Raw genomic sequence first — 13,111 nt, 5'->3', positions numbered from 1 at the left:
ATGATTGATATTAAAGAAAAAAAACCACCACATAACAGCTGATTCAAGGAATCTTTTTATCAGTGCAGAAGCAAGTGAGCCTGGCATGGAAGGAAAGGCTGGCTGAGATTAGGGTTCCTTAGCTACTTGTTCCTGAGACAGAACTTCTCAAATAAGTTTAAAACTGTATTGATTATCCATTGTTCTGTAATAGATTTTGCCAAAATTTACCAGCATGTGGCAACAAACATCTATTATCCCACATCATTTTGTGGGTCATGAATCCGGGAGTGGCTTACCTAGGTGGTTCTGGCTCAGGGTCTCTCCTGAGGTTACATCAAACTCTTGGCTGGGGCTGCAGTCTTTTGAATGGCTGATGGGACTCAGCTTCTCCCAGCTGTTGGCTGAAGGCCTCCGTTTCTCACCCTATGTATCTCTTCATAGTCTGTCTAAGTAGTTTTTTGACATGACAACTAGAGCAATAGAGAGATTCCGGGTGATGTCATACTACTTTTATGACCTAGTTTCTATTTTACGCATGTGATTTCTGTTTAATTCTATTGACTGAAGTTAGTCACCAAGTCCAGCTCACATGAGATGGGACAGGTTTGCACAAAGGTATTAAATCAGGGGACGGGGCCATTTGGCACCTTTTTTAAGACTGGCACCACAGGAATTGTGGTGCTACATTTAGGGTCTGTTTTTTCTTGGTGGTGTTGGGGGGGTAGTTACAAGAAATGGGGCTACAGGAAGGCGCAGATACTGACGGTAGAAAGAGCTCTAATTGTGTGTAGGTTCTGACTATTTAGCTTTCGTATATCAATGCCTATTCTCATCATCTGTGCATAAGTATTTCAACCTCTGAATTATAGTTTAAGAGAAATTCCTTTTGTAATTTCATGTAAATTGTATGTTTTATGTTTTTTAAAAGGAAACATGTTCATTGTTTAAAAAATAGAAAGGAAATAAAAGTCCTCTGCAATCACCCCACCCAGAGATAATCACTATTAATATGTGGATGAACACTTTAGACATTTCTAAACCATGTAAACACATACAACTATATATTATGTAATTGTACATAAATTTACAATAATATTGCACCTGCTTGTCAGCAATAGCTTTTTTCACTTGATGGTATGCTATGAGCTCTTTTCCATGTCAATAAATATAACTGCATGCTATCATTTTTAGTGGCTGCAATATGTTGCATTGTATGGATGCTCTATAATCACTCCTCCAATCACTTGTTATTTGACATTAAAGTTGTTTCATATGTGTATTTTTATAGAAATAAAATGCGTGGCTGTAGGAATGCCCAGCTTAACCCAAACCCAAATTATGATGCATTCGTTATCATTGCTTTCTGTCCTTTTCCATACCTTTTTATAATATAGTGGAACTGTCAATGTTTCTCAGTTATTTGTGAAAGATTTTAAATGTTTTTAAGGATTTCAAGAGGCCAGAAAATGCAAAGAAATGTGTAATACAAGAGGGTTTTCCTGCTTTCTGGGTAGTATTAACTTTATTAATTTGATAAGATCCAGAGCTTATACTCTCTCCATTCTCTCATCTTCATAACATGTTGAAGATACAAAGAGACATTTAACGATCATTGGTGAAATTAGCTCCACAGACAAAACCTTAGTTTAAAAATGCACTGAGTACCAAGCACTTGACCCCTGGCTGTACCTCAATTGCTCCATGCTTAATCGTTTCTCCCCATGAAAGTATATAAAAAGTACCCTTGGATCACATAACTAGGGTGACCATATCATTCATCACCCAAATGGGACACTTTAGAGAGTAAAATCAGAATTTTTAATAATTATATGGGACAATTGGCATAACCAAAACTGTCCCAGGCAAGCTGGGACATATGATCAATCCAAATAGATCAGTTAAGGAAACTGAGGCATAGACTGCTTATGTGAACTATCAGAATTCAAGGTAGCAAATTATACATTGCCTGTTCCAGATCCTTTCCCTTATCATTGATTTCTGGGTCCCTGAACATTTTTGCAAGTTTGTTCTCTGCAGGGGCCACTTCTTCCTATTAGGTGGGATCTCATGGATATAATTTTGTCTTTATTGGAAATGCTTACTTTATTGGAAATTACTTTCTTTATTGGAAATACATATATATATATATATATGCATGATATATGCACACACACATATCCAAAATATTGGATATATTATATAAATATAATATAATATATTTGTATGATATATATAATATATATGTATGGATTTTTATACATATGAATACATCTATATTTTATATGTGGATATGCAATATTATGGATGTATTTCTCTTTCCCCAGATGTAATAAACAACTATTAAATACTGGATGTCTTCTGCATTTTCATGGAATTGAGAAAAGTGCAGAGGGGTAGTTCATAGGTCCACCACTAGAGAGAGTGCTGGCCAAGAGTTTGTGTCTATAGCCTGAAAGTTCCGTGCTTTATGAAAAAGGCACAAGAGTGGAATTTGTTCCCTTATGTCTCCAAGAGAATGAGAAACTTTTGTACACAGCAATAAAATCTTTCTCCCTACTTCTATGTCAAACTTTGTTTGGTTTGTTTTTTTCAGTTCTTGACTGAATTCTGATATCTATCAGTAACTTTTGCTGCTCCATCTGTGTCTTTTTTTCCCCCAGAACCCTCTACTGTTTCCTCCTTTTATTCAGGAGGGTCTCCCATTCTTCACAGGCCTCCAATCCAGTTTGGAGAGTATTTGAGAGGTTTTGTGGCTGCATTGTCTTAGAAAAGGAGCCCACATTGAGCACCCTTTGCCTCCACTCTTAAGCTGATCTGGCACAGCGCCATCTTGAAACCGGACAAACTACTAAAGCGTATCCTGCTCTGGGGACCAGGGGCCACTGACTGTTTTCAGCTTTGAGTGCCTGCTGTCATTCCATCACATTTCCGTGAATGTCTGGAACACCATGCTCTTGGCTGCCTACAGCTTGGATCTGACAGAATTATTGAGATCCTAGCATCTAAATCTATACAATACCTCCACAACCTTTCCACAGAAAACTGGTGGATCTGCATAGAAGGGAAGCTGTTGAACAGTCAACCATGCCACCGCACTTGCCCTGATTTTCTGGAAAGACTACCACACAACTAGCCAGCCTGCTTGTGTATACATAGCTCGACAGTCAGTCCAGTGGTAACCCAGCTCCACAAAGAGAGCTCACCAGATGGCCTGTTGGCTCTCCATGCCCACTTACACTGGGCTAGAAATCCAACCTGGTGCCCTCATCCCCAGCAAAAACATGTCACCACTATCACGAACTTCTGTAGCTTAAGTCATTGAGGCAATCCCAGACACCACCAATGAGGATCACAATAGAAGAAATTGTATGGAGACCACACTACTGAGTCCAACTGAAACCAAAGCCAATGCACCATACCCAAAGAACCCACAGGACCCACATATGATGTACTCCATAAAATTAGAAAAAAACAACCCTTCCACTAGATGCATAGATATCAACATAGAGACACAGGAAACATGGAAAAAGAAGGAAAAATAGCATCTCCAATGGAGCACAATAAGTCTCCAGTAACAGAACTCAAAGAAAAAGATATTTACAAAGTGCCTGAAAAACAATTCTAAAATAATGATCTTCAGAAAACTCAGTGAGATACAAGAGAACATAAACAAAATTTCAATGAAATTAGAAAACAGTTCATTATTTGAATGAGAAATGCAACAGAGATAAGTATTATATAAAAATAAACAAAAGTCTTGGAGCTGAATAATTCAAAAATAGAAATTTTAAAAATGCAATCGAGAACTTCAATAACAATCTAGATAAAACAAAAGAAAGAATTTTTAGAGTTAAAGACAAGTTTTTTGAAATAGCCCAGTCAGAAAGAAAAAAAATAACAATTTAAAAAGAATGAAAAAGACTATAAGACCTCTAGGACAACATTATGCAAACAAATATTCATGCTATAGAATTGTCAGAGGGAGATGAAAGGGAGAAAGGCATGAAAAACCAGTTTAATAAGATAATAGGTAAAGACTTTCTAAGTCTTGGGGAAATATGGGCATTCAGATCCAGGAAAAGTGAGGGTCTACAAAGACATAGCACTCAAAAAGTTACCCTTGAGGTCACATTATAATGAAACTGCCAAAAGTCAAAGACAAGATAAAGAGATAATTCCAAAAGCTAAAGAGAAAAGCATGAAATCATGTACAGGGGCTCAACAGAAACCTTATAGGCCAAGAGAGAGTAAAGTGATATATTAGAAGTGCCAAAAGAAAAAAAAACGCCAGCCAATAGTACTATATTCAGTAAAGATGTAATTGCTATCATGAACACACATGAAAGTATAATACCAATAGAAATAAATGCATAAATCAAACTCAGAAGTTTTCAGTGATATTATGGTGCTATGTAAATCTTTCAGGCCTCTAGTATGAAGATTTAAAGTCAAATGGTAAAAACAACAACATATAGGTTTACAATAGTCTATTATAACTACAAGACTCTACGTTAGCCACATGTTAAGCATAAAGAAAGAAATTACAGCCAATGTATGGATGAAGCAAAGAAAGGAAACAAAGCTGAGCATACAGAAAACCACCAAATTAGAGAGGCCAACAGCAAGAGAATAAGAGGAACAAAAATCTACAAGACAACCAGAAAACAATTAACAAAATGAGAGGAATATTTCTCTACTTATCAACAATAAACCTGAATGTAAACGGATAAAATTTCCCAACCAAAAGAGACAGAGTGGTGAATAATTTCTTTTTTTTTTTTTTTTTTTTTTTTTTTTTGAGACGGAGTCTCGCTCTGTCGCCCAGGCTGGAGTGCAGTGGCGCGATCTCGGCTCACTGCAAGCTCCGCCTCCCGGGTTCACGCCATTCTCCTGCCTCAGCCTCCCGAGTAGCTGGGACTACAGGCGCCCGCTACCACACCCGGCTAATTTTTTGTATTTTTAGTAGAGACGGGGTTTCACCGTGTTAGCCAGGATGGTCTCGATCTCCTGACCTCGTGATCCGCCCGCCTCGGCCTCCCAAAGTGCTGGGATTACAGGCGTGAGCCACCACGCCCGGCCAATAATTTCTTAAAGACCTTACTATATGCTGCTTATAAGAGACTCCTCTCTCTATTAAAGACAAACAGACTGAAGTGAAGGAATAAGAAAAGATACTCCATGCAAATGGAAACCAAAAAGCAAAGGAAGTAGCCATACTCATTTCAGATAAAATAGACTTTAAATAAAAAAATTAAATGAGACAAAGCAAGTCATTGTATAGTGATAAAAGGAGCAACTCAACAACAACAAAAATAACAGGTGTGTATACATATATCTGTGTATATATATATACATATACATATATATATGTATATGTATATATATATATACATATACATATATATATGTATATGTATATATATATATACACACACCCAACACTGGTGCACCGAACTATATAAAACACAATGTGTATTAAAATACCAATAACATTTTTTGCAGACATATAAAATACAATACAAAAATTCATTTAGAAAAACAAAAGAGCCTGAATTGCCAAAGCAATCCTGAGCAGAAAGAAAAAAGCTGCAGATATCATACCTCTGACTTCCAAATATATTACAAAACTACAGTAACCCAAGCATCAGGGCACTGACATAAATACAGACACATAGACCAATGGAATACAATAGACAGCCTGGAAATAAATGAATGAGCCTGGAAATAAATGAACGCACTTATAGCCAACTAATATTTGCCAAAGGAGCCAAGAACACATATTGAAGACAAGATAGTGTTTTCAATAAGTAGTGCTGGGAAAATTGGATATACACATGCAGAATAGTGAGACTAGCCTCCTACCTCTGACTACATACAAGAAGCAGTTAAAAATGAATTAAGGACTTAACTATAAGACATGAAATTATAGAAGTCCTAGAAAAAAATCACAGGGGAAATGTTTCACAATATTGGACTGGGAAAGAATTTTAAAATTTTACATGAAAAGGAAGGCAACGAAAACAAAATTAAACAAATGGGATTATATCAAACTAAAAATATTTTATACAGCAAAGGAAACAACAGAGGAAAGAGAACCTATAGAATAGAAAAAAATATCTTTCAAACTATGAAACTGACAAAGGTTTAATTTTCTGAATATGTACAAAACTTAAAAAACTCAACAGCAAAAAGAATAAGTCAATTAAAATATGGCCAATATATCTTAATAGGCATTTCCCAAAAGGAGACATACAAATGGCCAAAGGTGTATAAAAAAAAGATTACCATCACAAATCATCATAGAATTGCAAATCAAAACCACAACGAGATATTACCTCACTCCAGGTAGAATGGTTATTATCAAAAAGACAAAAGAAACCATGTGTTGGCAAGGATGTAGAGAAAAGGATGCATTTACATATTGTTGGTGGGATTATAAACCAGTATAACCATTATGGAATACAGCATGAAAGTTCTTCAAAAAATTAAAAATAGAACTACCATATGATGAAGCAATCCCATTACTGTGTATAAATTCAAAATGAAAGCAGCTGGAGCAGAGGAGGTGGAGCATGATGGCTGAATAGAAGCCTTCAGCAATTGTCTCCACTGCAGGAATACCAAATTTAACAACTATTTACACACACAAATAAATACCTTCATAAGGAACAAAGTTCAGGTGAGCCATCACAGTACCTGGTTTTAACATTATATTAAGAAAAAAGGCACTGAAGAGGGTAGGAAAAACAGTCTTGAATCACGTATGTCACCCCATCCCCATTCCGTGGCAGCAGCCATGTGGTGTGGAGAGAGAATCTATTCACCTGGAGAAGGGAGAGGGCAGTGATTATGGTAGTTTCCATTAGAACACTGTGCTGCCCTGTCACAGTAGAAGGAAACACAGGGAAGGACACAGCTGCCTTCCACTGAGGGAGAATTTAGACAAGCCCTAGCCAGAAGTGAATAATCCATCCCAACAAGTGGGCTCTGAGTTTCAGCAGGCCCTGCCCATGGGTAGGCTGGTCATGAACTCCTGACCTCATGATCCACCTGCCTCAGCCTCCAAAGTGCTGGAATTATAGGTGTGAGCCACCACGCCTGGCCAGATGATGTAATCTTACATGTGGGAAAACTTAAGACTCTACCAAAAAAACCTGTTAGAACAGATAAACAAATAAGTAAAGTTGCAGAATACAAAATCAACATACAAAAATCAATAGCATTTCTACATGCCAACACTGAATAATCTGAAAAATAAATCCAGAAGTAATAGATAACAAATGTGGTACATAGAAACAATGGACTACTATTCAGCCATTAAAAATAAAATGAATTCCTGTCATTTGAGACAACACGCATAGAACAGGAGGATGTTATGTTAAGTGAAATAAGCCAGGAACAGAAAGACAAACTTCACATGTTCTCATTTGTTTATGGAAGCTAAAAATCAAAACAAACCCATGGAGATGGAGAGTAGAATGATGGTTACCCAAGGTTGGGAACGGTAGTGTTTGTAGGGGACTGGGGGAAGTGGAGGTGCTTAATGGGTACAAAAATATAGTTGAATAGAATTAACAAGATCTAATATTTGATAGCACACCAGGGTGACTACAGTCAATAATAATTTATTGTACATTTCAGAATAGATAAAAGTGTATAATTGGATTTTTTTTGTAACACAAAGGATAAATGCTTGATGTCATGGATATCTCATTTACCCTTACATGATTATTATACATTGCATGCCTGTATAAATATATCTCATGTACCACATAAATATATACATCTACTATGTACCCTCAAGTATTAAAAATAAAAAAGTTTATTTCAGCACTATTTAGAGTGGCCAAGATATAGAATCAACCTAAGTGTTCAACAATGGATGCATGGATAAAGAAAAAGTGGTATATATACTCAATGGACTACTTTAGCCATATAAAGCAAGGAAATTCTGTAACGCAACAACATGAATGAATCCGGAAGATACCATCTGAGTGAAAAAAAGCTAGGCACTGAAAGGCAAATACCTCATCTCACTCATATGTGGAATCTAAAATAAATGTTTTTTAGTCTGAAATCAAAGAAGCAGAATGCAGAACAGTGATTACTAGAGATGGGGAAGTGGGGCAGAGGAAGAAGAACGGGGAACGGCTGTTCAACAGGTACAAACCTCCTATTAGGACGAATCATTTCTGGTGGTCTGCAGCACAGTAGGGTGACTATTGTTAAAAGTAAAGTGTTTTACATTACAAAATAGCTAGAAGAGAAATTTTTGAATGTTCTTACCACAAATAAACAACAATGAATGAGGTGATAGGTACACTAACTATCCTAATTGAATCATTATATATGTATCAAAACATCAAATTTTACCTCGTATTTTAAGTACGATAAAAATGTGTCAATTTAAAAAGAAAAAGAAAAGGAGGAAATAGAAGAGGACTATTCCATATTCCTTAACACAAAGAAAAATTCAATATGAGCCTGAAAACAGTGACCAAGAACAGATCATATTTTATGTATTAATGAGAAGTACACACAGGTCCAAGTTTTCCTTATGTTTATGCTCCATTTCTTGGGCATCTGAAGGAGGTAGATAAGATATAGGAGCATGAAGAGATCCAACTTAAACTCAGGAATTCTTATTTACATTAAAAAAATTAAATGTGAATGATTTCTTTTTCTTTTTGTTAGCTTGAAAGTCACCATCAGGACCTTGGAGAATCTTGATTCTATCATGCGGGATACTTAATAGTCCTTGTTGCATGACATCAGTGACTATCTATGTTCCTATAACCATTTCTGGGTTTAATTAAAATGTTGAATACTGCAGGGTTAAAGACAAGACCATCAGATGCATTACTAGGGAACTCTGTCAATTTTACTTTGATTCATTAATTCTTACCTTATGATTTATGCAATCCCCCATGAAACCAATTATTACACTGTCACTTAATGCACATTTCTAGATCTTGAACATGATGGACTCATGAGATTTTTTGGAAATGGCTTCTTAAATCCAGGTTAAAAAATGTGTATCTATTTCTGAGTCTAAAATACCTGTCAAAAATTCTAGTAGGTTTAGTTTCTGTATGAACCAGTGCTGTGTTTTAATGGCTCCTGCCTTTTATCAGGTATTGATTTGTTTAATAATTCAATAAATTTTTATTTCTCATTTATTTTGTGATAAGCATTGTGCTAAATACTTGTTTCAAATCACTAGCACTGAATATTTGATATCTGTGTGGTCACCTTTTTAAAAATTAAAAAAAAAAATTTGCTCACCAAGTCTTCAAGAATCTGTTTCCCCAGAATTCTTGGCTAATCATTGCCAATGTTTCTCTGATATCAACTTCAAGACTTTAAAATAAATATCAGATATATAATTTATCTGTCACAGACTAGACACCTGAACTCAAAATCATCTAAAGCTAAGGTATGTTTTTAATTTTTTGCTGAAGAGTTTCCTTTTCTTGGGACCTTATTTTTCCTCTACTTCTCCACTGAGGATCATATGAAAGTCTTTTGAGCCTATTGACTTAGTTAGATTAATTCTGTAGCATGTCCTCACTTCTATGTTCTAGATTATTTCTCTTACTTTGTAGCCCATCCCCGACTTTTGGTGTTCTTGGAAATGAGAAAAAGGGGCAGTAAAAAGAGCCCTTTAGGCATTACCATGACTGCTCTATCTTCCTCTGAGTGATATCTTGCTTCTCTCTATGATTTTTTTGGGGATAGTCACTTTTTTTCTTTCTTTTTTTTTTTTTTTTTTCTTATATAGAGTCTCACACTGTCACCCAGGCTGGAGTGCAGTGGCGTGATCTCGGCTCACTGCAACCTCCACCTCCTGGCTTCAAGTGATTCTCCTGCCTCAGCCACCTGAGTAACTGGGACTACAGGTGCGTGCCACCACACTCAGCTAATGTTTTTGTATTTTTAGTAGAGACAGGGTTTCACAATTTTGGCCAGGATAGTCTCGATTTCTTGACCTCGTGATCCACCCGCCTCGGGCTCCCAAAGTTCTGGGATTACAGGCGTGAGCCACCAGCGCCTGGCCCACTTTTGTTTTTTGTTATATAGGCACAGTATTTCCAACAAGCCACACATATTATTGTTTCTGTACTTGAACCCTTATGCCTTAATCCCAATTACAGTAGCCTTAGCTACCTGTGACACCTTGTTAGGTTATATCTACTGTGCTATGCATTGATGATCCTGCTGAGTAAATGCAATAGTTCTAGTATAAGAAAACAATGTTTCCAGGTAATATTATATATAAAAATCCTCAAAGTCGACTATTCATTCAATCTTAATAGTTCCAAATAATGATCAGAAATCATATGTGGTTCTATAGTATCAAACCCCATGATTTGGAGGGGTTATTTTTGTATGATTTTCACCAATATTCCTTAGTAAAATTATTTATTTTGCCTCAAAATCCTGCCTTTGGTTACCTAACCATGGGTTATTTTAAAAAATCATTTGCAAAATTGCTATGCAAAAATGTTTGCAACCACACATGCTACAATAAATATTGATCGAGACTGAGTGCCTACATTGTAAAAAGCTCTGTCTTTTCCCAGAAAATTGACTGTGGAAAAAAAAAGAAATAAACAACAATTAAGAAATAAAACAGAGCCAAAAATGAAGGCATATCTCAGAGCCCTAAGGTTATTTTGTTTTGTGTTACTTTTCCTTCCTTTTAATTTTTCTTTTCATATTTCCTCCTAGAAACCCTGTCTCCCCAGGAGAAAAAGTCCTCATTGTTGCAAGATCACTAAAAGATTTACGGAAGAAATGGGCTCTTTTGTTTTTGTTCTTCATTCATCTTCTTTCCTTATGCCGAAAAAAATATATTTGCATTCTGAAATCAACAGCATCAGTCAAGTATGCTTTTCATAGACTAACCTCTAAAAATTGTTTCTTTGAACCTTTTGGAGGCTTTGATGGTAAAACTGAAAAGTCCCAAACTATTTTCGTTCATCCCACTTGGAATACATCACAAATTATGTTGCTGGAATTAATGCATGCCAGTTAGTGTTTTGTCTTATTGGCTTTGTGTCAGTTTCATCAGTGGTTTTATTTGTTAAATTGTGCACATCCTACATGACTTTCATACAGAAAGCTCCTCTTATTTCATGTTTATTTAGGGTTTCCACTTGAAATACTGCATTCTTAGCCTCACAATTCTGTGGTAGAGGCAAAGATGGTATTAATATTTCCGTTTCACAGATAGTGAAATGTATATTTAATTGGAATTAGCAATTTGCTAACTGGGTTATAAGTCACCTAGCAAAACCAGAACATGAACTCAGGTCTTATGATTGCATATTCAGTGATATTTCTATATCTCCTTAGCACCAAATCCAGCATTAAGTAAGGAATACAGTTAATGGCTATTCCTTAACCCAAAAATGTCTTCTAAGTCTGCTTCCTCTTGAGGACATCACCTAATTTTCACCCTTCTTTTTATAAACATACTTTCAAAAGTATTGTTCAGTGAGAAATAATGCTGTGGAAAAAAATAGCAGTAGAGGCAATATAGTTTTTAGACGGCCCAGAATCTAAATCTCCCCATCCGCAAATAAAACAAGGAGAGCAACTAAAATACCTAAACAAACACGAATGGACAACTTTCAATAAAACTGGGTGATTGGATAGCCCCATAAATCCCCAAAATGTAAGCAGGTGTGGACAAACAACCAACAGCTGTGAGACTCATGTGACACAGCATCTGTGTGGTAGAAAGAGACTCATGTGACACTAGCATCTGTGTCATAGAAAGAAGAGAGAAAAATGGGGCACCTGGAAGCTTCAAAAGAGAAGAGCTGCAAAATTGCCACAGGTATTGTTGCAGTTTGCATTACCAGGAAAAAAAGACAATGAGAGGGATATTTGCATAACAGGCTTTTTTTAGGAAGTGCTTTTGGGATCCATGCCTGTGGAAGGGAGGGAAGAGAAGTAGCACTGGGCAGAGGGAGTGGAGCTGTAATACAGTTCTAAAGAGGGCTTCAGCAAATCTCCTGGGAGCTCTGGAGTTGGAATAGATAATTACAGTTGTTCTAAGATTGGGCAAGGTTGCCTGGACGTTATTATTTTTCCACATTGATTAGCCATTAAGTATGAGCTAATCCTACAAAGCTTTATGACCTTGGGTGAGTAAGATTATTTTAGCTGTGGCAATCCCCACAGTCAGTCCTAACAGATGGAGGCCCATCTTTTAGCAATACTTTCAGCAGCTGAAAGAATAAATCTTTCATTCCTGAAGAGGAATTTAAACAGTGCTTCACTGAGTCACCAAAAGCAATCATTGGGAAGTCTGAGTACAGTAACCAATACAGGAAGTGTGCTCCATAGACTTCAACATAGGGGTGAAGTAAGCGTTCTACAGTAATGCGTTGGAGTGGTCTGAGACCTGTGTATACTCTAAACTAATGACTTGAAGCTCCATACTAGAAGAAAGCCATATGCTAAGAAATAATTGCTGAAGGAAGAATACAAATTGAGCAAAACAGGCCAAATAGGGACAAAGAAAAGAGAATACCCCCAAAATATTGGAAGATACCATCAGAAAGTATAAAGCCATTTTTTATTATATCAAAATATAAACAACAAAAATAACAGCAAAAGAAGACGCTCTAGGGCAGTAAACCTTAAAACAGCTATTCTATCCCACTGTCTTCCTTTAAAAAGTACTGGAAAAGTAATTTTATGTAAAATGAGAAACATAAAAGAATTCTATATGAAGAAATTGTAAGAAAAAGAAAATACAAGGAGCAGAACAAAGTCTGTACAGACAATGAAATTCTGCCAGAATATATATCTATAAAACAGATTTTTATCTGCGAACTATTTTAAAGACACTTAAAGAAATTGAGAAAATAATAGAAGCTTTGAAAGAAACCGTTAATCAAAAGAAGTTCAGAAATGATGTTATTGGAGGAGAGGAGTGTTTGAAAAGTGCAAACCAAAAATAAAATTCTAAGGCTCCCCAACCATTTGAATGAACTTCCTCCTCAGTCAGGACACTCTAAAATTTAACCTGAAATACTGGTTCAGGCCATGCCCTGAAGTGGGCATCAGCCATGCCTCATTATACCCTCCTTCATTAACATCAACACAGACCTTA

At 36.3% G+C, this 13,111-nt stretch overlaps 1 long non-coding RNA gene across 3 annotated transcripts in view; it reads right to left on the bottom strand.

Annotated features, from left to right (window-relative positions):
* Positions 1-13,111, bottom strand: part of LOC107986178 (uncharacterized) — a 245,894-nt gene that overhangs the window by 66,973 nt on the left and 165,810 nt on the right. For 2 of the 3 annotated variants that reach the window (NR_188484.1, NR_188485.1), the window contains exon 1: positions 279-434. The exons of the other annotated variant lie outside the window; for it this stretch is intronic. This is a non-coding gene — a long non-coding RNA (uncharacterized LOC107986178). Of the gene's footprint in view, positions 1-278; positions 435-13,111 lie in introns of those variants that run through there. 3 annotated transcript variants of the gene reach the window in all.

The sequence above is a fragment of the Homo sapiens genome, chromosome 4, assembly GCF_000001405.40.
Source record: "Homo sapiens chromosome 4, GRCh38.p14 Primary Assembly".
Classification (NCBI taxonomy): Eukaryota; Metazoa; Chordata; class Mammalia; order Primates; family Hominidae; genus Homo; species Homo sapiens.
This window is presented reverse-complemented; position numbering and strand designations above follow the sequence as displayed.